Below are 27,865 nucleotides of genomic sequence, written 5' to 3'. Positions count from 1 at the left end.
GACTTAAAATGTAAGATCTCAAACTATAAAAATCCTAGAAGAAAAGATAGGAAATACACTTCTCAATATCAGCTGTGGCAACGAATTTATGCCTAAGTCCTCAAACACAATTGCAACAAAAACAAAAATGGGCAAGTGGGACCCAATTAAACTAAAGACCATCTGCACGGCAATAGAAATTATCAACAGAAGAAACATACAACCTAAAGAATGAGATAAAGGAATGTAAACGAATCAACAAGCAAAAAACAACCTCATTAAAAAATGGGCAATGGACATGAACAGACAGTTCTCAAAAGAAGACATATAATTAGCCAACAAACATATGAATAAATGTTCATCATCACTAATCATCAGATAAATGCAAATGAAAACCACAATGAGATACCATCTCACACTGGTCAGAATGGCTTTTGTTAAAAAGTCAAAAAATAACAGATACTTGTGAGACTGCAGAGAAAAGGGAACACTTCCACTACTGGGGAAATGTAAATTAGTTCATCCACTGTGGGGAGCAGTATGGAGATTTCTCAGAGAACTGAGAGTTGAACTATCATTCAACCCAACAATCCCATTACAGAGTACAGACCCAAAGGAAAATAAATTGTTCTACCAAAAAGACATGCACCCATATGTTCATCACCACATTATTCACAATAGGAAAGACATGGAATCAACTCAGGTACCCATCAACAGTGAACTACATAAAGAAAATGTGGGAGGAGCCAAGATGGCCGAATAGGAACAGCTCCAGTCTACAGCTCCCAGCGTGAGCGACGCAGAAGACAGGTGATTTCTGCATTTCCATCTGAGGTACTGGGTTCATCTCACTAGGGAGTGCCAGATAGTGGGCGCAGGAGAGTGGGTGCAGCACACCGTGCACCAGCGAAAGCAGGGTGAGGCATTGCCTCACTCGGGAAGTGCAAGGGGTCAGGGAGTTCCCTTTCCTGGTCAAGGAAAGGGGTGACAGACGGCACCTGGAAAATCAGGCCACTCCCACCCTAATACTGCACTTTTCCGACGGGCTTAGGAAACGGCGCACCAGGAGATTATATCCCGCACCTGGCTCAGAGGGTCCTACACCCATGGAGTCTCGCTGATTGCTAGCACAGCAGTCTGAGATCAAACTGCAAGGTGGCAGCGAGGCTGGGGGAGGGGCGCCCGCCATTGCCCAGGCTCCCTTAGGTAAACAAAGCAGCCAGGAAGCTCGAACTGGGTGGAGCCCACCACAGCTCCAGGAGGCCTGCCTGCCTCTGTAGGCTCCACCTCTGGGGGCAGGGCACAGACAAACAAAAAGACAGCAGTAACCTCTGCAGACTTAAATGTCCCTGTCTGACAGCTTTGAGGAGAGCAGTGGTTCTCCCAGCATGCAGCTGGAGATCTGAGAAAGGGCAGACTGCCTCCTCTAGTGGGTCCCTGACCCCTGACCCACGAGCAGCCTAACTGGGAGGCACAGCCCAGTAGGGGCAGACTGACACCTCACATGGCCGGGTACTCCTCTGAGACAAAACTTCCAGAGGAACAGTCAGACAGCAGCATTGGCGGATCACAAAAATCCGTGGTTCTGCAGACACCGCTGCTGATACCCAGGCAAACAGGGTCTGGAGTGGACCTCTAGCAAACTCCAACAGACCTGCAGCTGAGGGTCCTGTCTGTTAGAAGGAAAACAAACAAACAGAAAGGACATCCACACGAAAAACCCATCTGTACATCACCATCATCAAAGACCAAAAGTAGATAAAACCACAAAGATGGGGAAAAAACAGAGCAGAAAAACTGGAAACTCTAAAAAGCAGAGCGCCTCTCCTCCTCCAAAGGAATGCAGTTCCTCACCAGCAACGGAACAAAGCTGGATGGAGAATGACTTTGACGAGTTGAGAGAAGAAGGCTTCAGACGATCAAACTACTCCGAGCTACAGGAGGAAATTCAAACCAAAGGCAAAGAAGTTGAAAACTTTGAAAAAAATTTAGACGAATGTATAACTAGAATAACCAATACAGAGAAGTGCTTAAAGGAGCTGATGGAGCTGAAAGCCAAGGCTTGAGAACTAAGTGAAGAATGCAGAAGCCTCAGGAGCCAATGCAATCAACAGGAAGAAAGGGTATCAGTGATGGAAGATGAAATGAACGAAATGAAGCGAGAAGGGAAGTTTAGAGAAAAAAGAATAAAAAGAAATGAGCAAAGCCTCCAAGAAATATGGGACTATGTGAAAAGACCAAATCTACGTCTGATTGGTGTATCTGAAAGTGATGGGGAGAATGGAACCAACTTGGAAAACATCTGCAGGATATTATCCAGGAGAACTTCCCCAATCTAGCAAGGCAGGCCAACATTCAGATTCAGGAAATACAGAGAATTCCACAAAGACACTCCTCGAGAAGAGCAACTCCAAGACACATAATTGTCAGATTCACCAAAGTTGAAACGAAGGAAAAAATGTTAAGGGCAGTCAGAGAGAAAGGTCGGGTTACCCACAAAGGGAAGCCCATCAGACTAACAGCGGATCTCTTGGCGGAAACTCTACAAGCCAGAAGAGAGTGGGGGCCAATATTCAACATTCTTAAAGAAAAGAACTGTCAACCCAGAATTTCATATCCAGCCAAACTAAGCTTCATAAGTGAAGGAGAAATAAAATACTTTACAGACAAACAAATGCTGAGAGATTTTGTCACCACCAGGCCTGCCCTAAAAGAGCTCCTGAAGGAAGCACTAAACATGGAAAGGCACAACCGGTACTAGCCGCTGCAAAATCATGCCAAAATGTAAAGACCATCGAGACTAGGAAGAAACTGCATCAACTAACGAGCAAAATAACCAGCTAACATCATAATGACAGGATCAAATTCACACATAACACTATTAACTTTAAATGTAAATGGACTAAATGCTCCAATTAAAAGACACAGACTAGCAAATTGGATAAAGACCTCAGCTCTGCACCAAGCAGACCTAATAGACATCTACAGAACTCTCCACCCCAAATCAACAGAATATATATTTTCTTCAGCACCACACCACACCTGTTCCAAAATTGACCACATACTTGGAAGTAAAGCTCTCCCCAGCAAATGTAAAAGAACAGAAATTATAACAAACTGTCTCTCAGACCACAGTGCAATCAAACTAGAACTCAGGATTAAGAAACTCACTCAAAACCACTCAACTACATGGAAACTGAACAACCTGCTCCTGAATGACTACTGGGTACATAACGAAATGAAGGCAGAAATAAAGTTCTTTGAAACCAACGAGAACAAAGACACAACATACCAGAATCTCTGGGACGCATTCAAAGCAGTGTGTAGAGGGAAATTTATAGCACTAAATGCCCACAAGAGAAAGCAGGAAAGATCCAAAATTGACACCCTAATATCACAATTAAAAGAACTAGAAAAGCAATAGCAAACACATTCAAAAGCTAGCAGAAGGCAAGAAATAACTAAAATCAGAGCAGAACTGAAGGAAATAGAGACACAAAAAACCCTTCAAAAAATTAATGAATCCAGGAGCTGGTTTTTTGAAAAGATCAACAAAATTGATAGACCGCTAGCAAGACTAATAAAGAAGAAAAGAGAGAAGAATCAAATAGATGCAATAAAAAATGATAAAAGGGATACCACCACCGATCCCACAGAAATACAAACTACCATCAGAGAATACTACAAACACCTCTACGCAAATAAACTAGAAAATCTAGAAGAAATGGATAAATTCCTTGACACACACATCCTCCCAACACTAAACGAGGAAGAAGTTGAATCTCTGAATAGACCAATAACAGGCTCTGAAATTGTGGCAATAATCAATAGCTTACCAACCAAAAAGAGTCCACGACCAGATGGATTCACAGCCGAATTCTACCAGAGGTACAAGGAGGAACTGGTACCATTCCTTCTGAAACTATTCCAATCAATAGAAAAAGAGGGAATCCTCCCTAACTCATTTTATGAGGCCAGCATCATCCTGATACCAAAGCCGGGCAGAGACACAACCAAAAAAGAGAATTTTAGACCAATATCCTTGATGAACATTGATGCAAAAACCTCAATAAAATACTGGCAAACCGAATACAGCAGCACATCAAAAAGCTTATCCACCATGATCAAGTGGGCTTCATCCCTGGGATGCAAGGCTGGTTCAATATACGCAAATCAATAAATGTAGTCCAGCATACAAACAGAACCAAAGACAAAAAACACATGATTATCTCAATAGATGCAGAAAAGGCCTTTGACAAAATTCAACAACACTTCATGCTAAAAACTCTCAATAAGTTCGGTATTGATGGGACATATCTCAAAATAATAAGAGCTATCTATGACAAACCCACAGCCAATATCATACTGAATGGGCAAAAACTGGAAGCATTCCCTTTGAAAACTGGCACAAGACAGGGATGCCCTCTCTCACTACTCCTATTCAACATAGTGTTGGAAGTTCTGGCCAGGGCAATTAGGCAGGAGAATGAAATAAAGGGTATTCAATTAGGAAAAGAGGAAGTCAAATTGTCCCTGTTTGCAGACGACATGACTGTATATCTAGAAAACCCCATTGTCTCAGCCCAAAATCTCCTTAAGCTGATAAGCAACTTCAGCAAAGTCTCAGGATACAAAATCAATGTACAAAAATCACAAGCATTCTTATACACCAACAACAGACAAACAGAGAGCCAAATCATGAGTGAACTCACATTCACAATTGCTTCAAAGAGAATAAAATACTTAGGAATCCAACTTACAAGGGATGTGAAGGACCTCTTCAAGGAGGACTACAAACCACTGCTCAATGAAATAAAAGAGGATACAAACAAATGGAAGAACATTCCATGCTCATGGGTAGGAAGAATCAATACCGTGAAAATGGCCATACTGCCCAAGGTAATTTATAGATTCAATGCCATCCCCATCAAGCTACCAATGACTTTCTTCACAGAATTGGAAAAAACTACTTCAAAGTTCATATGGAACCAAAAAGGAGCCCACATCGCCAAGTCAATCCTAAGCCAAAAGAACAAAGCTGGAGGCATCATGCTACCTGACTTCAAACTATACTACAAGGCTACAGTAACCAAAACAGCATGGTACTGGTACCAAAACAGAGATATAGATCAATGGAACAGAACAGAGCCCTCAGAAATAACGCCGCATATCTACAACCATCTGATCTTTGACAAACCTGAGAAAAACAAGCAATGGGGAAAGGATTCCCTATTTAATAAATGGTGCTGGGAAAACTGGCTAGCCATATGTAGAAAGCTCAAACAAAACCACAATGAGATACCATCTCACACCAGTTAGAATGGCAATCATTAAAAAGTCAGGAAACAACAGGTGCTGGAGAGGATGTGGAGAAATAGGAACACTTTTACACTGTTGGTGGGACTGTAAACTAGTTCAACCACTGTGGAAGTCGGTGTGGCGATTCCTCAGGGATCTAGAACTAGAAATACCATTTGACCCAGCCATCCCATTACTGGGTATATACCCAAAGGACTATAAATCATGCTGCTATAAAGACACATGCACACGTATGTCTATTGCGGCACTAGTCACAATAGCAAAGACTTGGAACTAACCCAAATGTCCAACAATGATAGACTGGATTAAGAAAATGTGGCACATATACACCATGGAATACTACGCAGCCATAAAAAATGATGAGTTCATGTCCTTTGTAGGGACATGGATGAAATTGGAAATCATCATTCTCAGTAAACTATCGCAAGGACAAAAAACCAAACACCACATGTTCTCACTCATAGATGGGAATTGAACAATGAGAACACATGGACACAGGAAGGGGAATATCACACTCTGGCGACTGTTGTGGGGTGGGGGGAGGGGGGAGGGATAGCATTAGGAGACATAACTAATGCTAAATGACGAGTTAATGGGTGCAGCACACCAGCATGGCACATGTATACATATGTAACTAACCTGCACATTGTGCACATGTACCCTAAAACTTAAAGTATAATAATAATAAAATAAAAAAAAATAAAGTAAAACTCAAAAAAAAAAAAAGAAAATGTGGTACTGGGAGTATTAGAGTGGGGAGAGAGGGAGGTGTGAGTTGAAAAACTACCTACTGGGTACCATGTTCACTACCTGGGTGACAGGATCCATACCCCAAACCTCAGCATCACTCAATATACCCATGTAACAAATCTGCACATCTACTCCCTGAATCTAAAATAAAAGTTGAAATTATTTTTTTAAAAAATTTTAAAGGAATTATGGTATATAAACACCATGGAATACTATGCAGTCATAAACAAAGAATGAAATCATATCTTTGCAGCAACATGGATGTAGCTGGAAGCCATTATACTTAACTCACACAAACAGAAAACCAAATATTGCATGTTCTCACTTATAAGTAGGAACTAAACATTGGGTACATATGGACATAAAGTTAGGAACAACAGACACTGGAGCGATATAAGAGTGGGGAGGAAGGAAGAGAGGTAAGAGTTGAAAAACTACCTCTCGGGTACTATGCTCACTACCTGGGTGACAGGTTCATTCATACTCCAAACCTCAGCATCATGCAATATACCTTTGTAACAAGCCTGCACAGGTACTGCCTGATTCTAAGATAAAAGTTGAGGAAATAAAATAAAAAGGAGCAACCACTGAGGAAAACTGATAGATGAACCTCAAAAACATGATATTAGGTAAAAGATGCTAAAGACTACATATTGTATGATTCCATTTATATGAAATATCCAGAAAAGACCAACCTATGAAGACAGAAAGTAGATTAGTAGTTTCTTGTAGTTGGAGTGGGAGTGAGGATTAGGTGTAACTGGACACAAGGGGGCTTTTGGGGGAATGGTGATGTTTAAAATTGGATTGTGGTAGTGGTGCACAACTCTACAAATTTACTAAAAATCCTTAAATGGTACACTACAACGCATGAATTTTGGTATGCAAATTATATATCAATAAAGCTGCGTTCTTTTTCAGAGGATAGGGTAGCTTGACCAGCATGTAGTTTCTGCAGAAATAGGAGATGAGATTAGAAGAAATTGGGTGCAACTCTTCAGAATTTTTGAATGTCAGAGTGAGAAATTTCAATGTAATCTAATAGGCAACAGGGATCCCCTTGAAGGTCTTGGAATAAGACAAATACAAACAAATAAAAACCACAGATAATTACATTCATAAAATTAACCTCATCTAATGAGGCAATTTGTTGACACATTTGACCATAAGGACCAGGACCTGTGGGCTTCCTTGGGACCATGGCCTGGATTTAGCAAGGGCGTGAGGAGACACACTCTACAAACCATAAAGTATCATCAGAGAGGTTTTATTTAACTCTATATAACATGACTTACTTTCCAACCTGACTCTGGCATAACATCACATGATATTATATAAGGAAGGAAATCAAAATATTTTACCCCAAATATGTTTCTTTGTCAAATCTTGAAATAGCCCTGCAAAGCTGTCTCTTGTGGGGGAAAAAAATCTACATTCTGTAGAATCCCCTTCCCTTTCCAGGCCTTTTTTCTAGACAGAATCAACTGGGAATCTGATAAACATTTGCAGTCTGTTCTCTGAAGCCTGCTGCCTGAAGGTTTAATCTGCATCAAGGGAACCTTGGTCTCCAGGATCTCTTGTCTTAACCCAGATATTCCTTCTATTGATTCTAGGTCTTTAGACAGCAATTTAACTCTTTCAACCAATTGCCAATTAGAAAATCCTTGAATTCACCTATGACCTGGAAGCCCTGCCCCCCACCCCTTCAAGTTGTCCCACCTTTCCAGACCAAACCAACATCTTACATGTATTGGTTGATGTCTATGTCTCCTTAAATTGTATAATTCCAAGCTGTAGCCCAACCACCTTAGGCACATGTTCTTAGGACCTCCTGAGACTGTGCCCCAGGCCACTGGTCGCTCACACTTGGCTCAGAATAAATCTCTTCAAATATTCTACAGTTTGATTCTTTTTGTCAACAGGCAGATCCTCTCAAATACTTTTACCTTGAATCACAAAAGTGGGAAAAAAGATGGAGGGAAATGGTCCCATGAAAATCTATCACTTCCACAGGAAAAACATCTCCAAGAATATGGCTTCTGGCTTATCATTCTAACTGGGAATCAACTGAAAAAGAATATTAAGTGATGGGCTAGAAGCCAGTCCTAGATGAGATGGGGTGGAGTAAAGTGGGGAAATCAATATTTGGCTGAGGGCCTAATTCTCTGAAATTTAATATCCTGCTATAAGAGATATGGAAATCATATAAAAAGGAAGTTAAAAACAAAAATACAGGTGGCCCATCTGGGAGCATGGTAAAGTTGGATAGGTATTGATCTTACTGCATGACATTCTATCAATGATTCTCAGGTAGTGTGACAAATATATTTAAATCCACTTAAGGTCAAATGTTCAAAGTACATTTATTTTAATTACATTAAATCACTTTTCCTACTGCTAGATTGTTCCAGGCTATACAGCTGGGCCTCATAAAAGTAACTTTTTAGGAAGTACAGCACCTTAATTTATCCTTAGTTATATTTGGTACTTTCAAGCAACACTCTGAGCACTATTAGCTCTCTGTGTATTAATATACAGAGAAACATATCGGGGTTGATATAACTGCTCAGCTGTTCATAGATATGCTTATAAAAACAGTACATCTTTTTCTTTTGCTGAGAAAGATCACAAAATAATCTCTCAAGGAAACTGGCTTTGTTTTCCTCTACTTAAAGAGAGAGAGAAAATGACGGTAAGGGAAGGAAGGTGGACGGGAGGATTGTGAGGGTTATAAGGGTTGTAATAATCGCTAATTCACAATTCAAACTGTTCAGAACTCCTTTACAAAAAACTAATACAAAAAGAATAATTGTGCCAGATGGGATTAAACAGGAAGATAGATAACAGAAATGAAAGAAATCCTCATACAATTACAGATAATTGGAGGCCACTTATGTATTTTTCTGTCATCACTGACACAAAAAGATAAGATTTTCATTTCCACATAATGAGCCCATTAATAGTTTTATTGTAATATTAGAAACATCTTGTTTCTGAGTATATCTCAAAGGACTATTTTTTTTTTAAAGATCAAACAACAAACAGAACAAAATTTTAGCAGAAGAGGGGACACACTGATTACTTCTGACTCAGAATAGTTTATTTCAGAAAAGTGATCAAATTTCTGAATCTGATAAACTTACCAAGATAAAATCCTAATATTAAATTTACAATACAGCCAGTTGTTCAAGCTAACACTAGCAAGCAGAAAACTCAAATGCTGATTGAAGAACATGAAGATAAAGAAGCATGCATTCAATTTATAAAAAGTGAACACGCCCCAGGGAAGTAAAGCATACCAGATGGTTATTAAAAGGAGAATGTTTTCATACGATAATAGGTCTGTTCTCCCCTTGAAGTATGTACAACCCCCATTAATGTCAATTAGCATTACATACCTAAATCCAGGGAACCATAACTCCAATGTTATAATACTTTGCACTTACATATCTTTTCTGAAACTAATTCAGTTGCACAAAGCCCTATAACTTACATCATTGTCATTACAGTATACCTAACAAATGCTGACTGGGCAACAACCTCACCCCAGTTTAGGAGCTGGCACTAGATGATCCCTAAGTCCCCATTGATTTCTGAAATTCCGAATTGATGAAAATTTAAGATTCTAAGTCCCTTTTCATAACAATTATGCAGGTACAATAAACATTTATTGAGAATTTTACTGGAAAATAAGCACCATGCAAGATGCTACACAGACAAGTTCTATCTACAGGGTCCACAGATTAAAGTGAAGAAGGTGAAGCTCAGAGAGATGACGTGATATGCCCAAAGTCAAAGCACCAGAAAGAACTGGGACTAGGACTCAAGTCTGTTGACATAAAATTTGATGACATTGTTTTAAACAATATTTGAATGTATAGTTTTTACGAGCTAATGTTTCTGGTGATTCTCTAACCACCTAAGAGTGCTTCACAACTGCCTGCTATTCACATCCAGTGAGTGAAAATCATTGGCTCAGTGATAGTCTATTCATGAATAAGAATTTAAAAAGACTAATGGAAAGAAAAAAAAATAAAGAAAAAAGACATCACAAGAAACAATATAAAATGAGGAACTGACAATTCTCTATGCCTGGTACGGCACTATCTAATAGATAGCCACATATAGCTAATTCACACTTGAAATGTGCTGCACATATAAAATAAACCAGATTTTTGAAGACATACTATGAAATATAAAATACCTCATTAATAATTTTAATTTTACTACATGTTGAAATGATATATTGAATATATAGAGTTAAATAAAACACATTGTTGGGCTGAGCACAGTGGCTCACGCCTGTAATCTCAGCATTTTGGGAGGCCAAGGCGGATGGGTCACATGAGTTTGTGACCTGCCTGGCCAACATGGTGAAAGCCTGTCTCTACTAAAGATACAAAGATTAGCCAGGTTTGGTGGCGCGTGCCTGTAGTCCCAGCAGTGAACCAAGATAATGCCACCGTACTCTAGCCTGGGTGATGGGGCGAGACTCTGTCTCAAAAAATAAATTAATTAATTAAATAAAATACATGGTTAAAATTACTTTAACTTGTTTCACTTTACTCTTTTAATCTTCTAGGAAATTAAAAATAATACATGTGGCTCACATTTGTGACTTGAACAAATTTCTGTCAGACAGTTTGGCTAGACTCTATACCCACACACAGATAGTGAATACATCAGGGACATACTTATAACAAACACTCTTTGGAGATTACTCTGACCCGAATAAAGAAAAATTTACAAAATTTTGAAAGAGCTTTGTATATTGCTCTTGTTTGGCTGAGAAACTAGCAAGGGTCAGACAGAGTAAGAGAACATCCACCTTTACATTCACTCAAGCATACCATTCAGTTATCTAACTGCTCTCTTTTCAGTGAACAGGAATAAACTAACTCATATATGGAATAATTCAAAACTCTAAACATTCTGAGACCAGAGAAACAAGTTCATAGGGTATAGACAGGAAAGAGAAAACGGCTCCCTCAGAAATACCAATGAAGAACAGGAGTTCCATGACTACAACCCAGTTTTCAAAAAGTTGTTATCTGTGGTAATATATCTGGTAAAACACACATAACATAAAATTCACATTTCAAGTGTGAATTAGCTATATGTGGCTATCTATTAGATAGTGCCGTACCAGGCATAGAGAATTGTCAGCTCCTCATTTTCAAGTGTACGATTCAGTATATTAATGCATTCACATTGCTTTGAAAAAGCTATTTTTGTGCTCATCAATTTTTTTAATTTTTATTTTTTTTTCTTCAACTATTATTTTAAGTTCAAGGGTACATGTGCAGGATGTGCAGGTTTGTTACACAGGTAAACATGTGCCACAGTGGTTTGTTGCACAGATCAATCCATCACCTAGATATTAATCCCAGCACCCATTAGCTATTCCTCCTGATGCTCTCCCTCCCCTGACCCCACTCCCACAGGCCCCAGTGTGTGTAGTTTCCCCTCACAATGTGTCCATGTGTTCTCATCATTCAGCTCCCACTTATAAGTGAGAACATGCAGTGTTTGGTTTTCTGTTTCTGCATTAGTTTGCTGAGAATAATGGCTTCCAGCTCCACCCATGATCCTGCAAAGGGCATGATCTCGTTCCTTTTTACAGCTGCATAGTATTCCATGGTGCATATGTACCACATTTTCTTTATCTACTCTATCATTGATGGGCATTTGGGTTGATTCCATGTTTTTGCTATTGTGAACTGTGCTGCAATGAACATATGCATACATGTATTTTTATAATTGAAGATTTATATTCTTTTGGGTATATACTCAGTAATGGGATTGCTCGGTCAAATGGTATTTCTGCCTCTAGGTCTTTGAGAAATCACCACACTGTCTTCCACAAGGCTGAACTAAATTACACTCCCACCAACGTATAAAAGTGTTCCTTTTTCTCTTCAACCTCATCAGTATCTGTTGTTTTTTGATGCTTTAATTATACCCATTCTGACTGGTGTGTGAGATGGTATCTCATTGTAGTTTTGATTTACATTTCTCTAATGATCAGTGATGCCGAGCTTTTTCAAATATTTTCTGGCCACGTGTATGTCTTCTTTTGAAAAGTGTCTGTTCATGTCCTTTGCCCACTTTTTAATGGGATTTTTTTTCTTGTAAATTTGTTTAAGTTCCTTGTAGACTCTAGATATTAGACCTTTGTCAGATGGAGAGACTGCAAATATTTTCTCCCATTCTGTAGGTTGTCTGTTCACTCTGATGATAGTCTTGATCTATCTTGAGTTAGTTTTGGTATTTGGTGTAAGGAAGAGGTCCAGTTTCAATTTTTGCATATGGCTAGCTAGCTCTCCCAGCACCATTTATTAAATAGGGAATTCTTTCCCACTGATTGTTTTTGTCAGGTTTGTCAAAGATCAGATGGTTGTAGGTGTGCGGTCTTATTTCTGAGTTCTCTATTCTGTTACATTGGTCTTTGTGTGTGTTCTTGTACCAGTACCATGCTGTTTTGGTTACTGTAGTCTTGCAGGATAGTTTGAAGTCAGGTGGGGTGATGCCTCCAGCTTTGTTCTCTTTGCTTACAATTGTCTTGGCTATTCAGGCTCTTTTTTGGTTCCATACGAATTTTAAAATAGTTTTTCTAATTCTGTGAAGAATGTCAATGGTAGTTTAATGGGAATAGCGTTAATCTATAAATTACCTTGGGCAATATGGCCATGTGCACAATACTGATTCTTCCTATCCATGCATTCAACAAATTATAATATTTTTAAAAATTGCATAAAAATGTAAAGTCATCTAAAATAAACATACACCATTTTCAATTTTTTGCAAATGTATCTATTATAGACACATCTATTTCATTATTTGTAACTTATTATATACTATTTCATAATCTGCTTTTTTCAGTTATATAAAATGTTTTATATCATTCCGGTTTTGAAAATAATGAAACACAATAATGATATGAAATATCACTTCAAATAGTAGTACTATGATAAACCTAATCACTTTCCAACTAGAAAGCTGGTTACAATTTCCTGCAAAGATAATTAATAATATAAATGAATACCTTGATGAATGTATTTTTTTCTTTGTGAACTATTTCCTTGCCTAAATATTCAAGAGTAAAATTATAGGGTAAAAATGTACAAATTCCATTTTTTTTACTGACATCTCAGTTTTTTTGTTTTGTTTTGTTTTGTTTTTACTTACCACCCCTGTTCATCCACAAACATACGATTGCAAATTTCTGCTTCCTCCTCCTTTCTCACCTATTTACTCTATCACCTTCTGAGAAAGAATTTCCTTTTAGCTCTTAAGTGGTTATATGAAAAACAAGCCCAGCAACATCACCACATCCATGAAAGCTCCTTCTTAGTCTCTCAGCATGTTATTTTTACTTGTCCATGACAATGAGGAAAGTGGGCCTCTGAATGGTTTCATTATATATTCCTCTGTGTTATCAGCCAAAATCATGCTCATTTAAAAACCCATGGACCAAAAAGCTCTTAGGCTTCTGCGTGACTTAAAATGATTTTTATATATCAATACCATACAAATAAACAGAGTGGAAGGAAGTTTAAAGTACAGAAAAAGTAACAAATAGCAAACTCCAAACCACAGGATCTCTATTTAAAATTATGCCTAATACAGCCTCTTTTGTAGAAGAGAAAAGTCAGCCATCTGCCTCTCTAGAACATTAATGACTACTAGTCATTACATCACACATATGTCATCTGACACCAACTTTTAGATCAGTAAACATTTTCCCTCTGCTACAACAGAGGGTTAGTGTTGAAGTGAGGAGAAAAACCTCAGCACATGTAATAGCATCAAAACATAAGCCAAGTCATAGGGTAAGTCTAATTTCTTCCATTTCAATTTACTCAACCAATCAGTCTTGCTTTGACTAACAAATTTATGTGAAAATGTTATAATAAAATAGAGAATTTATTTGGCAAAGCTTTTCTGCCAATCAGCATTAGCATTTGAAGGCAAAGAAGCTAAACTTAGGTATAAGTGAAATCAACAAAGTCACACACCCAAAAAAAGTCCTCTGATACTTGTTTCAGATATAATTTCAGAATTGAGGGAACTCTCCAAAAGATTTTGTTACCTGTCTAATAGGTGTGTATACAATGACTATTAGATGATCATGAATATACATATACGTAGCATGAACATGTACAAACAGTTCGCACACATTTCCTTTTTCTTTACCCTGACCATAATTTTGCTAAAGAAAATCTAGGCTGTCTATGTCCCACCTGACAATGATTAAAGTAAAATTGCCACTTGATATTCTAAAGCCTGGACTTTGGAATACAATGCTTAATATCTGTGTAACACTGAGCAAGTTTCTTAACTCTACTCAGAGTCTCAGGTTCTTCCTCTATAAACAATAATGCCACCCTCACATGATGATTCTAAGTATTAAATGAAGTAATAAATAAAATTTACTTCAAACTCAGCAGACACCCAACAAATAAGAATTTCCTTTCTTTTCTCCTACTTTATTTCTTAGGTCCTCCAAAAATACATTCAGTTGATTGAGAAGGCAGTATTCCAATTTTACAAATGAGGAAATTTAGGTTTCTAACTACTGAAAAGAAGACATTCTCAACATGGTTACATTCTTTCAACATTATACCTCCAAAGCTAGAAGTAAAGATGAAAATTCTTTCAAAAAGAATGATATTTTTCCCAAAATTTTATTAGTTTTAACTTGTATTTTAAGTTCAGGGGTACATGTGCAGGTTTGTTACATAGGTAAACTTGTGTCATGGGGGTTTATTGTACAGATTATTTCACCACCCACATACTGGGCCTAGTACCCAGTAGTTACTTTTCCTGATCCTCCCCTCCTCCTACCCTCCACCCTCCAGTAGGCCCCAGTGTGTGTTGTTCCCCTCTATGTCTTCATGTGTTCCCACCAGTTAGCTCCCACTTTTAAGTGAGAATATCTAGTATTTGGTTTTCTGTTCCTGTGTTAGTTTGCTAGGGATAATGGCCTCCAGCTCCATCCATGTCCCTGGAAAGGACATAATCTTGTTCTTTTTTATGGCTGCATAAATACAACATAATTACTGAAACTGTGGTGGACAACTGAAAAATATTTATTCACTAGAGGCCAAATCCTTCCCCTGTAAGAATCATGCTCTGCTTTTCCCAGATTGATAATCCCAGGTCCCCTCTCCTTGCTTCAACCTTAGGTTGGCCTCCATAAGGGTGCTTGTTGTATGTTCCTAGTGGAGTATGATGCAGTAGTAGACACTATGTAGGCAAGGCATGCTAGCAAAAATAAGATGGGGATGTGGCTTTGAGGGTTCCTATACAGGATACAGGAAATAACCTGCATTTGAAAATAGGGAGGGAAGTGGTTGGCTTTTGCACCAAAACTCAAAACTATTAATGATGCACCTTGAAGCCAGTGACCCACCTGTTAGAAATATAATAAGAGGCTGCCACCCACAATAGGCCAAGAGAGGGCTAACTGCAGGATGATGGTCCTAAATGAGATAACCCTTCGTGGATGGTTGCCTCATTGCCGATTAACCAATATGTTTGTCCCAAAAAGATGCACTTGAGCTATCCAGAAGAGCTACCACTGATGTCCATTGCATCCTGTTTTCTTCATCTTTGGAAAGGCCTACATGTGATTTGGGGGTAGGGGTAATAAGGCTGTTCTCTATTTGAACTTTGCTCTGCATCTGAACTCCCAGGTGTCTTGTTCTACTCATCAGAAAGTTGTTATTATCCTAACAGGGCCAGGACCAGCTACGTTATTTGAGGTGCCCAGAGCAAAATAAAAATACAGGACCCTTTGTTCTAAAAGTATTAAGAAATCCAGTATGGCTACTATAGAGCATTAAACCAAAAACAGGGCTCTGTGTGACTGTGCAGGTGACATGCCCATGAAGCCAGTACTGGACAAAGCTAAGGTGAAGACCTATTTAAAAAACTGGATAATAGATTCCATCCTTCAAAGAACTGACCATAACTAAGAACATGGGCAAATATTCAGACAGTTTTATTCGCCTAAAAACAACACTGATGCTCTGTTTGCATTATTTTTTATTTATTTATTTTTTGTTTGTTTGTTTGTTTGTTTGTTTTGAGACAGGGTCTCACACTGTTGCCCAGGCTAGAATACAAAGGCACAATCATGGCTCATTGCAGCCTCAACCTCCCGGGCTAAAGCAATCCTCCCACCTCAGCCTCCTGAGTAGCTGAGGCCACAGGTGAGCACCACCTCTATCAGCTAATTTTCAAATTTTATGTAGAGACAGGGTCTCTTTATGTTGCTCATAGGGATCTCAAACTCCTGGGCTCAAGGGATCTTTCTGCCTTAGCCTCCCAAAGTGCCAGGATTACAGGCGTGAGTCACCATACCCAGCCTGCTCTGTTTGCTTTAAACAACTCTTGACAAACCTAATTAATTTTCAGATAAATTATCTTCAGAGTCCATAGACTACAACTGCTTATGAGTGAATAAGATTTTAATGACAACAAAAATTTAAGTTTAAATGTCAAAAGTATAGAAGAAAAGACATCTCTAAGTATAGAAAAACTAAATTGAAGGGTTAGAAAAGTTTCAAAAAGAACTGTTCGTTTAAAATAGTTTGCTAATTTAATATATGTTGAAAGAAGGAGGATAGATTATAAAAAAGTACACAATTCTCCACTCCTTCAACAAAGAGGCAAAGTCTATATCCCCACCTCTTTGATCTGAATTGACCAAAGCCAATGGAACACTAGAAACATGACACAAACAGATGCTTGAAAAGTGCTTGTGCATTGGGACATATAGTCACCATGTGAACAAGCCCAGCCTAGCCTGCTGGGCCATGAGAGACAAGTGGCCCAATTATTTCAGCTAACTGCAAGCCATCTGCCAAATACATGAGTAAATACATCCTAGCTATCCAGTCCCGAGCTGAGCCACCAGCTGACCAGAGACACATGAGTGAGCCCAATCAAGATCAGCCAAGCATGACCCAGATCAACAGAACTACCAAGCTAATCCAGAGACTCATGAACAATAAATAATGAATTATTGTTGTTTTAAGCCACTAAGGTTTGGGATGGTTTACTATACAGTAAAATTGTTAAATGATTCAGGTAATATTTTAGCTCAGTAGAAGAATGGAATATGCGATAAGCAGGGGCTGAGACACTAAGCTCACCAGGGAGCAGGGAGATTAGATTCTCACTAAATTGCACAATAAATTCCAGATGGAGTGAAAAAAGTACATTTAAAGAATCATAGCATAGAAGTGTTAGAATAATTTATAAATTGATATTCATATACTCTTGGCATACATAAGGAAGGATTTCCTAGGCAGAGAAACCTAAACGAAAAAGATGGACAGATTTTACTACACAAACGTTTTTTTAAACCTCATGTGTCAAAAATACATTACAAATAAAAAATAACAGGCAAATGATAAATTGGTAAAACTTTTTTATGTATGAGAGATTACATACATAAATAGGTACCAAGTATTTTCATGCATGATGAAAGTATGACCAAAGATTATCCCTCAATATACACAAAATGGTAAGACAAAGATGAACATGATAGAATATTAAACAAAATGTGTACATACGCAAGTCATAAAAAAGAAATACAAATGGCCAATTAACATGTGAAAAATATGCAGCATCTCTGGTAAGCAACAAAAGAGGTAAGAAGTAAAACAACAATCAAATTACTGTTTCAGTTAAAAATTGTAAAGATGAAAATAAGTAATAATACCTAGGAAAGCAGGCATTTTCATACACTATTGGTTGAGCTACAATCTGGTACAACATACCTGTAAGGTAGTGTGTATGTATGGGTATGCTGGTGTATGTGTGCATGTGTGTATGTGTGTCTCATAGAGAACATTTTGCTGAAAAATTAAAAGATCCCATCACAGGAGGAAAAAAAACGCTAAACAGGTAGCAGATCTAATTTTAAAGCGGTACGTTGGGAAAAGACTTTAAAAATCTAGTAAAGTCATGCAGTGGAGTTATGCCACAGGGACAGGAATGGACTCTAGCATGGCTTGTTATTTCATGAGCTTGACTAATCCATCAAGTAAATCATGCTCCCTACCTAGGCAAAGCATAAAGATAAGAAAAACACTGAACAGAAGGTATGTGATAATAAGGTAGGTGGTATGCTTGTTCGATCCCAGGAGAGTTGTCGAAAAAGGATTTCTCAATGTTAGACTCAACATTAAAACTATTATTAAGATTTGTCCTTTAATAAACTGTGATTGTCCATACTACAGACTGTCCATATCATAAACTATTATGTAACCATTACAAATAGAGAAGTACATCTATGCACTAATATGCAAAGAGTTCCAGTACATACTTTAGAAGAAAAAGAAAAAAGAGAGCTAGATTAATACATATCATATGATACTCTTTATGGAGTTTTTCTTTAGCCTGGTGAAACAATATTTCATTTCTATGTGCCAAAAAAAGAGGTGTGGAAAGAAACAAAAACAGTAAGAATGATTACATTTCTGAGCAGATGATAAGGAACCAAGATGGGAAATTTAGCATTACGTATAATGTTATAATTTTCTTTGGGAAATTATATTCATGTGTTAAGTATGTCATTAAAAAACTGACTAAACGGAATTAAAATAGACTTTATTATGCTCATGAAACTTATTGAACAATCAACACCTCACCCTCATTTATTACAAATATATACATATAATAAAATTGAATGGCAAGGTACATAAAAATTAAGTCAAAATCCTTATAGTACTCATATTTTTCCTTCAAATGTTTATTCATTCTTTTCATTAATCTAAAAGGAATGGGACTTAACAATATACATTCAAGTGAAAAGCCATGGTTTTGATCGTCTTGTCTGTAATATTACAAATCATGGAAAACCTCAACCTTGAGGCTAAGCAGAAAAAAATAAAAACCTCTGCACTTTAAATGTATAAAAGACGAAGTCTTACTATATAGAAAATCTGGAAAGCATTAAATCAAGCATCCTCTTCAAGTTCCTTTAAATGCCCTTCCACCATTGTGTCTACAAAAAGATACAGCATCATTAAATACAAGGTTGACCATACCTTCAGCCTCAAGTATGGCAGGCAGGGATGACGGTAGACCCCAGAATGAGAAAGAAAAGTGAACAAAGAAATGGGAAAAAGGAAAAGGAAAAGAAGGAAGGAAATAGAAAACAAAACAAAACAAAAAGAGTACTAAAGAGGAAAAGAGGTGTGGAACAGACAGGGCATTGGTGCCTACTGACTGAAGAATCATATAATTACCCCAGCACACACACACGAAATTGGCAGTCTATATTTGTGGAACAAATTTTGTAAATTCCATACATTATGGAATATAATCTTTGTAACAAAAGAGTAGTCATCTCATTTTATGGAACAAAACAGAAGTTCTGGGAGGGTAAGGGAATTGCCAAAAACCATACATCTAATAAGCAACAACACTGCGGTGTTTGAATTCCAAGCCCAGTGTTCTTTCCAATATTCCACTGCTACTATAGACTGTCCTTTAAATTGCTGCTAATTTTCAAATAACCATGAATTTTTTTTTTTTTTTTTTTTTTTTTTTTAGATGGAGTCTTGCTCTGTCACCCAGGCTGGAGTGCAATGGCGCGATCTCGGCTCACTGCAACCTCCACCTCCCGGGTTCAACCGATTCCCCTGCCTCAGCCTCCCGAGTAGCTGGGATTATGGGTGCCTGCCACCATGCCCGGCTAATTGTTTGAATTTTTAGTAGAGACAGGGTTTCACTGTATTAACCAGGATGGTCTTGATCTCCTGACCTCGTGATCCGCCCGCCTAGGCCTCCCAAAGTGCTGGGATTACAGGCGTGAGCCACCATGCCCAGCCTAACCAAGAAAATTTTAAGAAACAAATGTATTATGAGCAAAAACATAGTAAGCTATTTTTCTGTCCCCTAGGAAAATTAATTCTGAAAACAAAAATCTGATTTGTCCTTTCAAAATCAACAGAATGGAGTGGGGCAGGGGAGAAGGGCAGAAATGTTGTGATAAAGGACCACATGAAGGAGTCCTGTGGTGAAGCGTCTAGAATGTGGTGGCGGATGCTGAATCTACACAGGTGATAAAATTGTATACAACTTAATACACGCACCCACATAAATGAGTACAAGTAAGTCAGAATAAGACCTGTGGATTTTATTAATATCAATATACTGCTTATGATATTATACCATAGTTTTGCAAAATGTTACCATTGGAAGAAAGCAGTTAAAGGAGACATGAGATCTCTCTGCATTATTTGTTACAACTGCACAGAAATATAGAATTATCTCAATTAAAAAACTCAATTCAAAAAATCAACAGACTATTCATACCAGCAACACTGACTTTGAAACAGGAGAGTAACATTGTGAAGAAATATAGGAATACACAATATAGTCATTCAAAGTCTTCATTATAACCATTCAAAGACATTATAACAGAACTGGTAGAAGCCTTCTCATGATTTTTTAAAATTATTTTAAAATTTAAAAAATAATTTTTAAGTGAGAGATGTTTTGAATAGTTTTTGGAGAGACAGTGCCTTAAGAGTGACAGCCAGATCACCTAGCCATGCAAATGATAAACTATGGATGGAAGGTGATCAAGAAGAAAAAATATATTTTGAACTAGAACTTTTTGAACTATGATGCTTAAGAATTCCATCTCAAAATATCAACTGACATAATACTAGAAGTATGAGCCAGTTGCTTGGTAAGACAATTGGAGAATTATGGTAATAATTATGGAATGCACCAAGAATTGTCTCATAATACTAATCATAATAGCTACTATTTATCAAGCACATATTACGTGCCTGGCATTGTTCTTGTTGCTTTACATAAAAGATTAAAAATCCTCACAACAACTCCGGGAGGTAATATGTGGAAACTGAGGGCGCTCATGTAATTTACCCAAGGTCACACAATTAGAAAGCAGCAGAGTTTGACTTTGAACCTAGGTTTTTCTGACTCTAAAGCTTGTGCACTGTTCACTGTTCCTTAAAGCACTGGAAATGAGTACCTTATCTTGGATATTCTGGTACATGACTCTAGGGTGACAAAAAAAAGTATAGCCAGTAATAGAAAACTGTTACTGATATTATACTGACCTGCTTGTAGGTTCCATCTAACAAGGTGTCCAGGTGTTGAAGAGGGGCAGGAGTTTTATCTTTGAATCTTGCTAGTAGCCGGCGTTGAATGGCCCGAAATTGTACAGCTCTCTCAGATAAGAGTTCTTCTAATTTTTCACCATTTATCCGTAGCTGCAATGAATAATTTCTTAAATTGAGATTAAATGGACACAAAAAACATCTTTAAAGAAAAAATACACACAATGATAATAAAAGTAAAAGAGTAATGAAGAAATTTAAATGCATTATAGAGTTAAGGGAATTAAAACAATGTGGTATTTGGTACATGAATCACTAATTCACAGATAATACAGTGGAACAGATCAAATGGAAAATTGTAAAAGTTAACCAGTATCACTGGAGGAAAAACAGATCATTTAATAAGTGTTTTTCAATAATTGGTTACATGGGAAAAAATAGAAATCTTTTCTCATTCTTTACAGCAAAATCAATGCAGAGATTAAAAGTTTAGACACAATAAAAGCACCAGAAAAATCAGAATTTTTAAAATGATCTTGGTATAGGAAAGGCCTTTATTAGTGTAAGTCAAAAGCTAAAAGCCACACCCACAAACAAACACACAAACACACCCCTGATAAATTACTAACTAAAAAAAACAAAAACATTTAATTCCACATGATTTTAAAAAATTATAAAGAAAATAGGACAAATAGCAAACTGCAAAAAATAACAGCAATAACTACAGAGACAAAGTCATGCCCATATCTAGAAAGCATCTACAAATCAATGAGAAAAAGACCACAACCTAACAGAAATCAGTAGGAAATCAGCAACAATCCAATAGAAAAATGGGCAAAGTTTTACATAAAAGTTAATACAAATACCTCTTAAACATACGCCTTTGACCTAACAATCCCACTTCTAGAAATGTATCCTAGAGATATGCTTGCCAAAAGTAATGTATATATCAGGATACCCATTACAAAATTGTTTGATCTATTGTTATCATAGTAAGACATTATTAATAATCAAAATTCCCATCAATAGGGGAACTGGTTAAATAAGGAAGACTATTCTGCAAGACTACTATGTGCTGATATGCAATGCTGTGCAAATATGATAAATGAAACAAAGCAAAACAATACAAAATAGTATGTATAATGTGCTACCATTATTTTTTATTTAAAAAAAAGAAACCTATATATTAACATAGTTGTGACTGCATAGGATATTTCTAGAAAGATATACAAGAAACTGGACACCAAACACTGCCTCCAAAGAAGAGATTGAGTGGCTGGGGAATTAGAATCCTAAATGACTCTCTTCACTGTAACCCATCTCATTTAAATTAATATTGTTAAAAGAAAGCGGCCGGGCACGGTGGCTCACGCCTGTAATCCCAGAACTTTGGGAGGCCGAGGCGGGCGGATCACGAGGTCAGGAGATCGAGACCATCCTGGCTAACACAGTGAAACCCCGTCTCTACTAAAAAAAAATACAAAAAATTAGCTGGGCGTGGTGGTGGGCACCTGTAGTCCCAGCTACTCAGGAGGCTGAGGCAGGAGAATGGCGTGAACCCAGGAGGCCAAGCTTGCAGTGAGCCGAGATCGTGCCACTGCACCCCAGCCTGGGCGACAGAGCGAGACCCCGTCTCAAAATAAATAAATAAATAAATAAATAAATAAATAAATAAATAAATAAATAAATGAAAGCAAGCTAGTCAAAGTCACAGGGTAAAAGGGACACTTCATAAGATTAGGTCATGTGAATCACTAACTCAACTTTACAAAACAGTAATAAACTAGCTGAAATAAACATCATATTCAAAATGCTCAGAAGTCAAACATATCGTAGTCTACATTTCTAGTAACAAACCAAATTCCTTACCCTTTCAGTGCATGCATTCTACAATTACATATGAAATAAAAGTAACTTGAAATTTTAACTTTTTTAAAGTGTATTCATGTATTTTGTCTTTATTTACCCTTCAGTTTTGAGAGACATTTTCTTCTTTTTATTTTTTTATTTTTTTATTATACTTTAATTTCTAGGGTACATGTGCACAACGTGCAGGTTTGTTACATATGTATACATGTGCCATGTCGGTGCGCTGCACCCATTAACTTGTCATTTACGTTAGGTATATCTCCTAATGCTATCCCTCTCCGCTCCCCCCACCCCACAACAGGCCCCGGTGTGTGATGTTCCCCTTCCTGTGTCCAAGTGTTCTCTTTAGAAGCACTCAGTAGCTAATTAAATCAAAGAATATTCCCTTGAGCAAAAAAATACCAAAAATTAAGTAATAAAAATATTTTTAAATAAAGTTTTTAAAAGAACATTAACCTAATTATCAATAATTCATTCTTCTAATTGTATAATTTACTGCTATAATTTATTTCCTGTAATAAAAATATTTTAAAATAAAGTTTTTAAAAGGACATTAACCTAATTATCAATAATTCATTCTTTTAATTGTATAATTTACTGCTGTAATAATTTATTTCCTAAATTCTTGATACACTAAAAAATTAAAAAGATGTTCTCAATACTCAGACTATCAACCAGGTTATCATTCCTTTGAATGTGTAACAAAGCAGCAGTGATTGAAATGTTTTCACATGTCAGAATTTCAATGCTTAACAAATATCTGTTGATCTCAGAGCCAAACCCTGGTCCAGGCACTAGAAATTAAAGCAATGAATAATACAGACAAAAATTTCTGCCTTCATGAAATTTACACTCCAAGGCACACTTGGATTCCAAAACCCAACTGTATTCAAAGTTTAAAATCTTACTAATGGCTGAAAGCAGAGAAAGGAGATAGAGAACAAAGGAAGCATAACAACGCCCCCCTTAATTTATGTGTGTAACAAATGAAAGTGCCTGTCATTCACCATATTCTCTAAGTCCCTCCTCAGAAAAGACACTCCCCTGATGTAGAAGCTCCAAGGAGTTACTTACTAGCCAGAAAGTATAAAGGGAAAATTATATGTCAAACTTATTAGTCAATAGTATCTAGTATTCTCTATTTCAAATATTACAAATATATAATTGGTATAGTCTTTCCATGGACCCTTTCACAAATCACTACACTTAAGTTTCCAACAGCGAAGCAAGAATTTCTTAAAATATATCCCAAGGAATTGCAAAGATTCTCATTCCATACGATACCTAAACATACTCTTACAGACTGTGTCAATTTTGGTGCTACAATTTGACCAAAGGCATGCGTTCCTAGAAAATATTGTCATCACAGATCCTCATCATAGATGAGGAATTATGACATAATTATTCATAATTCGATTGTATACACCTGAAATTTTCTTTTTATGTTCACACTACATTAAAGAAGTCTTCATAGCTGAAAGTCAATGCTCTTAGAATGTTCAATGGTTGGCTGAAAAATTATATGACTGGTAATTCTCTCTCTCTCTCTCTCTCTCTCTCACACACACACACACACAGACACATGCACACACACTCCTAAACTGAAATGTAGTCCCAAGAACCAATGCTTACTTGGATAATGTTCAAAATTCTCTCAAAATTCCCCTCTTGTATTGTCTGTAGAGTGTTTATAGACTATGTAAGTGGAGCCTGATGACTGGAATACATGGGACTTTTAAAAAAACTATGACTGTCACTGTCAAATCCACTCACAAAACAAATATTTGGCTAGTCCCAATCATCAAATCAATCTTCAAAAGATGAAGACATGTCACCATTGAAATACTCAAGAGAATCTAACATAGGCTCTGAAGGCACTTCCAAAGAAGAAATGCAAAATATTCAGAGCAACAAAGTTACTGTTAGAACACATTTATTCATATATGTAATCATTCAGCATTTAGTAAGCACCCACTGTGCCAGATACTGGGGAATATTTTAAGTGTTAACCCTCATTCAGATGCAGAAGTTCTGGTATGCTTGTTAAAAAAGAAAAAGAAAAATCACTTTACTTTATAATCACACCTCATTTATGGCCTGCTAGAATTAGTTAGCCAAATGGCCTCCGATAAGCTCAAATAGTTTTAACACTGGGTTATTGGGGTCAAGGGCTAAGTCTCCATGTGGGAGAATTAAATCAGCTCTGTTCCAGGGCCAGACGACATGGTTAGCTCCAGGCAGCCATTCTGTAAATGTCTGTAATTGATCACAAACTGGGCAAGTGGGCAGGAATGGATTCACGAAATCCACCATCCACATAAGAAAAACAACTAGAAGCACATAGCCTAATGGCATGCATACAGAATCCTTCTATAGCATCTATTTCTCTTTCATATATTTAAGGATTATAGATGATGTGGGTTATGATCATACATACCTCAAAATGATGATCAATCAACTCAAAATATTCTTGAAGGGGTATAGATCCCGAAAAAGAACATGCAAAATCTTTGACTCCCTGTTTTTCAAAATATTCTTGAAGGCGAAGAATAAGCTCATTGGTTATGAGCCAAAGATCTTCAAATTGTTCACTCTGAATGCGATATCGTTCTGAGAGAAAAAAATTAAGGAAAAATGCTTAGTAACACAGAATTACTAGATAAAGCTACATGAACTATCACTAATCCTGACTTTAAAAGTTCAAAGATTTCATTTTTGTAACAAAGATATGATTACACTGGCTTTATAAAAATACTTTCACTGTTTCATTGCTCCCTGCATCAACCACTTAACACTTTCAAATCTAATTCCAAAGGTAGGTGGTCACAGTGGCAAAGTGTAAAGCATGGTCCTTTTTGTTATATATCTTATAATAGGCTTCAGTACAATAAAAACACCCAAATTTGGGTCCTTTAAAAAGGCCTGTACTTAAAAAGAAAAGAGCCATTGCAAGAATACAATTTGTTATCATTAGTATCATTTCAAAATACTGAAGTAAAATTGATTCTATATAAAATTCAATACCCTGGATACTGCAATCAGCATAATTCACTGTAATCATGATCAAAGCTTTCTATTTTTCTAATAGTTATTTAATTTGAAGAGAGATTTTGCAGTCAGACCCTTTTCTAAATATAAATCTTGTTTCCCTTTATTCCCTGAGACCTCAGCTCCACTACTCCAAGATGACCAATTTCTAGCTATTCTCTACCCTGAAAATGATGACAACAATGGTGACAATGATGGTAAGAGAGGTGGTAATAACACCTATGATAAGAACAGCTATTATTTGTTGGGCATAAACTGTGTACCAAGAACTGTGATTACAATAGCCCCTTTTTTATACAAAGGAAAATAAAGCACAGAGAGTTTCACAGACTTGCCAAAGATCAAAAGCAATTAAATGCCAGTGCTAGAATTAATAGTTCATATCCTTCTGCCTAAATCGTACTTCTTCATCAGGACCTGGCTTTAATCTCATCTACTCAAATCTTGATTTCTCTGATATCCATGGGAGCTCAATCTGCACCAGCCACATTTTAAGCACTTTACATTCACTTTCTCATTTAAACCCTAACAGCCCTATGAGAGAAATAGTGTTACTAGCCAGTTAGTAAGAGAGCAGGCACTGGAACACTAGATATTAATCTTAACTGCCTCATAACATTGTGTCTTCCTGAATTTATATAGAGACTTACTATGTCTACAGTTCACTAGGCACTTAACTACGTAAAACCATGCATTCTTATATAACTTCCAAGATTATTACATTTGCTCCCTTTAAAGGAATTTATACACTTTTTTTTTTTTTTTTTTGAGACAGGGTCTCACTCTGTCACCCAGGCTGGAGTGCAGTGGCATGATCTCAGTTCACTGTAACCTCAGCCTCCCTGGTCCAAGTGATTCTCATGCCTCAGCCTCCCAAACAACTGGGATTATAGGTACCTGCAATGACACACAGCCAATTTTTGTATTTTTAGTAGAGATGGGGTTTCACCATGTTGGTCAGGCTGGTCTCAAACTCCTGACCTCGTGATCCACCCACCTCGGCCTCCCAAAGTGCTGGGACTACAGACATGAGCTGCCACACTGGGTCAGGAATTATACACTTTTTTGAGATCTAGGACTAAGTCCTCTATTCCATTTAATTCAACACTTATTGACCATCTATTATGCAGATGTCATAAAGAGACACACTGGGAGTACAAAGATGAACTCAGTCTTCTTGCTTAGGGAATCTAAGATCTAGCTAGAGTAGCATGATACATGGACATATAAAATATTTCTTTATGTTCCCCATGGTAACTGTGGTAAATTTTATAAATGCAATTACTTCTTCGGATTGGTTATTAGGACTTCAATTTGTCATCTCCATCCAGAATTCAATAGTATATCTCCTCTCATCCCTAGTCATTCCCTTTCACAATGATAAAGAATAAAATATACTGGGTATGCCTGTCACAATCCATGCAAACACACTGGTCTTTGCTGCTGAAGTCATACCCCATTCTCCTTGAAGCTTCACCACCCCTCCCTTCACCCCAGTCTTATTCTGGATGCTGAGTTCTGCCCATAATGCTGATTAGGTGTTTTCCTTAATCAAAGATAATACTTTTTAAAATAAATGCCACCAAATATTTACTTTTGTAAATAAATGACACTGAAGTTTTAATGTTTTAGAGATAGTACAGTTGTGGCGGGGCAGGGGTAGAGAGGTAGATGGGAGAATAATGATGATAAAGTACCGTATAAGAACCTTTTAAATCTAGTCTTATCCACACTAAGCTTGAGATCCAACATATTAACTCTAGATTGTATTTATTTACTTTCATTCA

At 37.2% G+C, this 27,865-nt stretch overlaps 1 protein-coding gene across 19 annotated transcripts in view; it reads right to left on the bottom strand.

Annotated features, from left to right (window-relative positions):
* BBS9 (Bardet-Biedl syndrome 9) overlaps positions 1-27,865 on the bottom strand; it is a 506,483-nt gene that overhangs the window by 226,462 nt on the left and 252,156 nt on the right. For all 19 annotated transcript variants that reach the window (NR_145412.1, NR_145411.1, NR_145413.3 and 16 more), the window contains 2 exons: positions 25,468-25,640; positions 21,162-21,314 (listed from right to left, as the gene is read on the bottom strand). Coding sequence is in view for 16 of the 19 variants with exons in the window: in NM_001348036.1 (NP_001334965.1) it covers positions 21,162-21,314; positions 25,468-25,640 (326 nt within the window). In the remaining 3 variants the exon portion in view is untranslated. The remainder of the gene's footprint in view (positions 1-21,161; positions 21,315-25,467; positions 25,641-27,865) is intronic.

This window comes from Homo sapiens, chromosome 7 (genome assembly GCF_000001405.40).
Source record: "Homo sapiens chromosome 7, GRCh38.p14 Primary Assembly".
Taxonomy (NCBI): Eukaryota; Metazoa; Chordata; class Mammalia; order Primates; family Hominidae; genus Homo; species Homo sapiens.
Note: the sequence above shows the minus strand (reverse complement) of the source record. Positions and strands in the feature narration are given on the sequence as shown.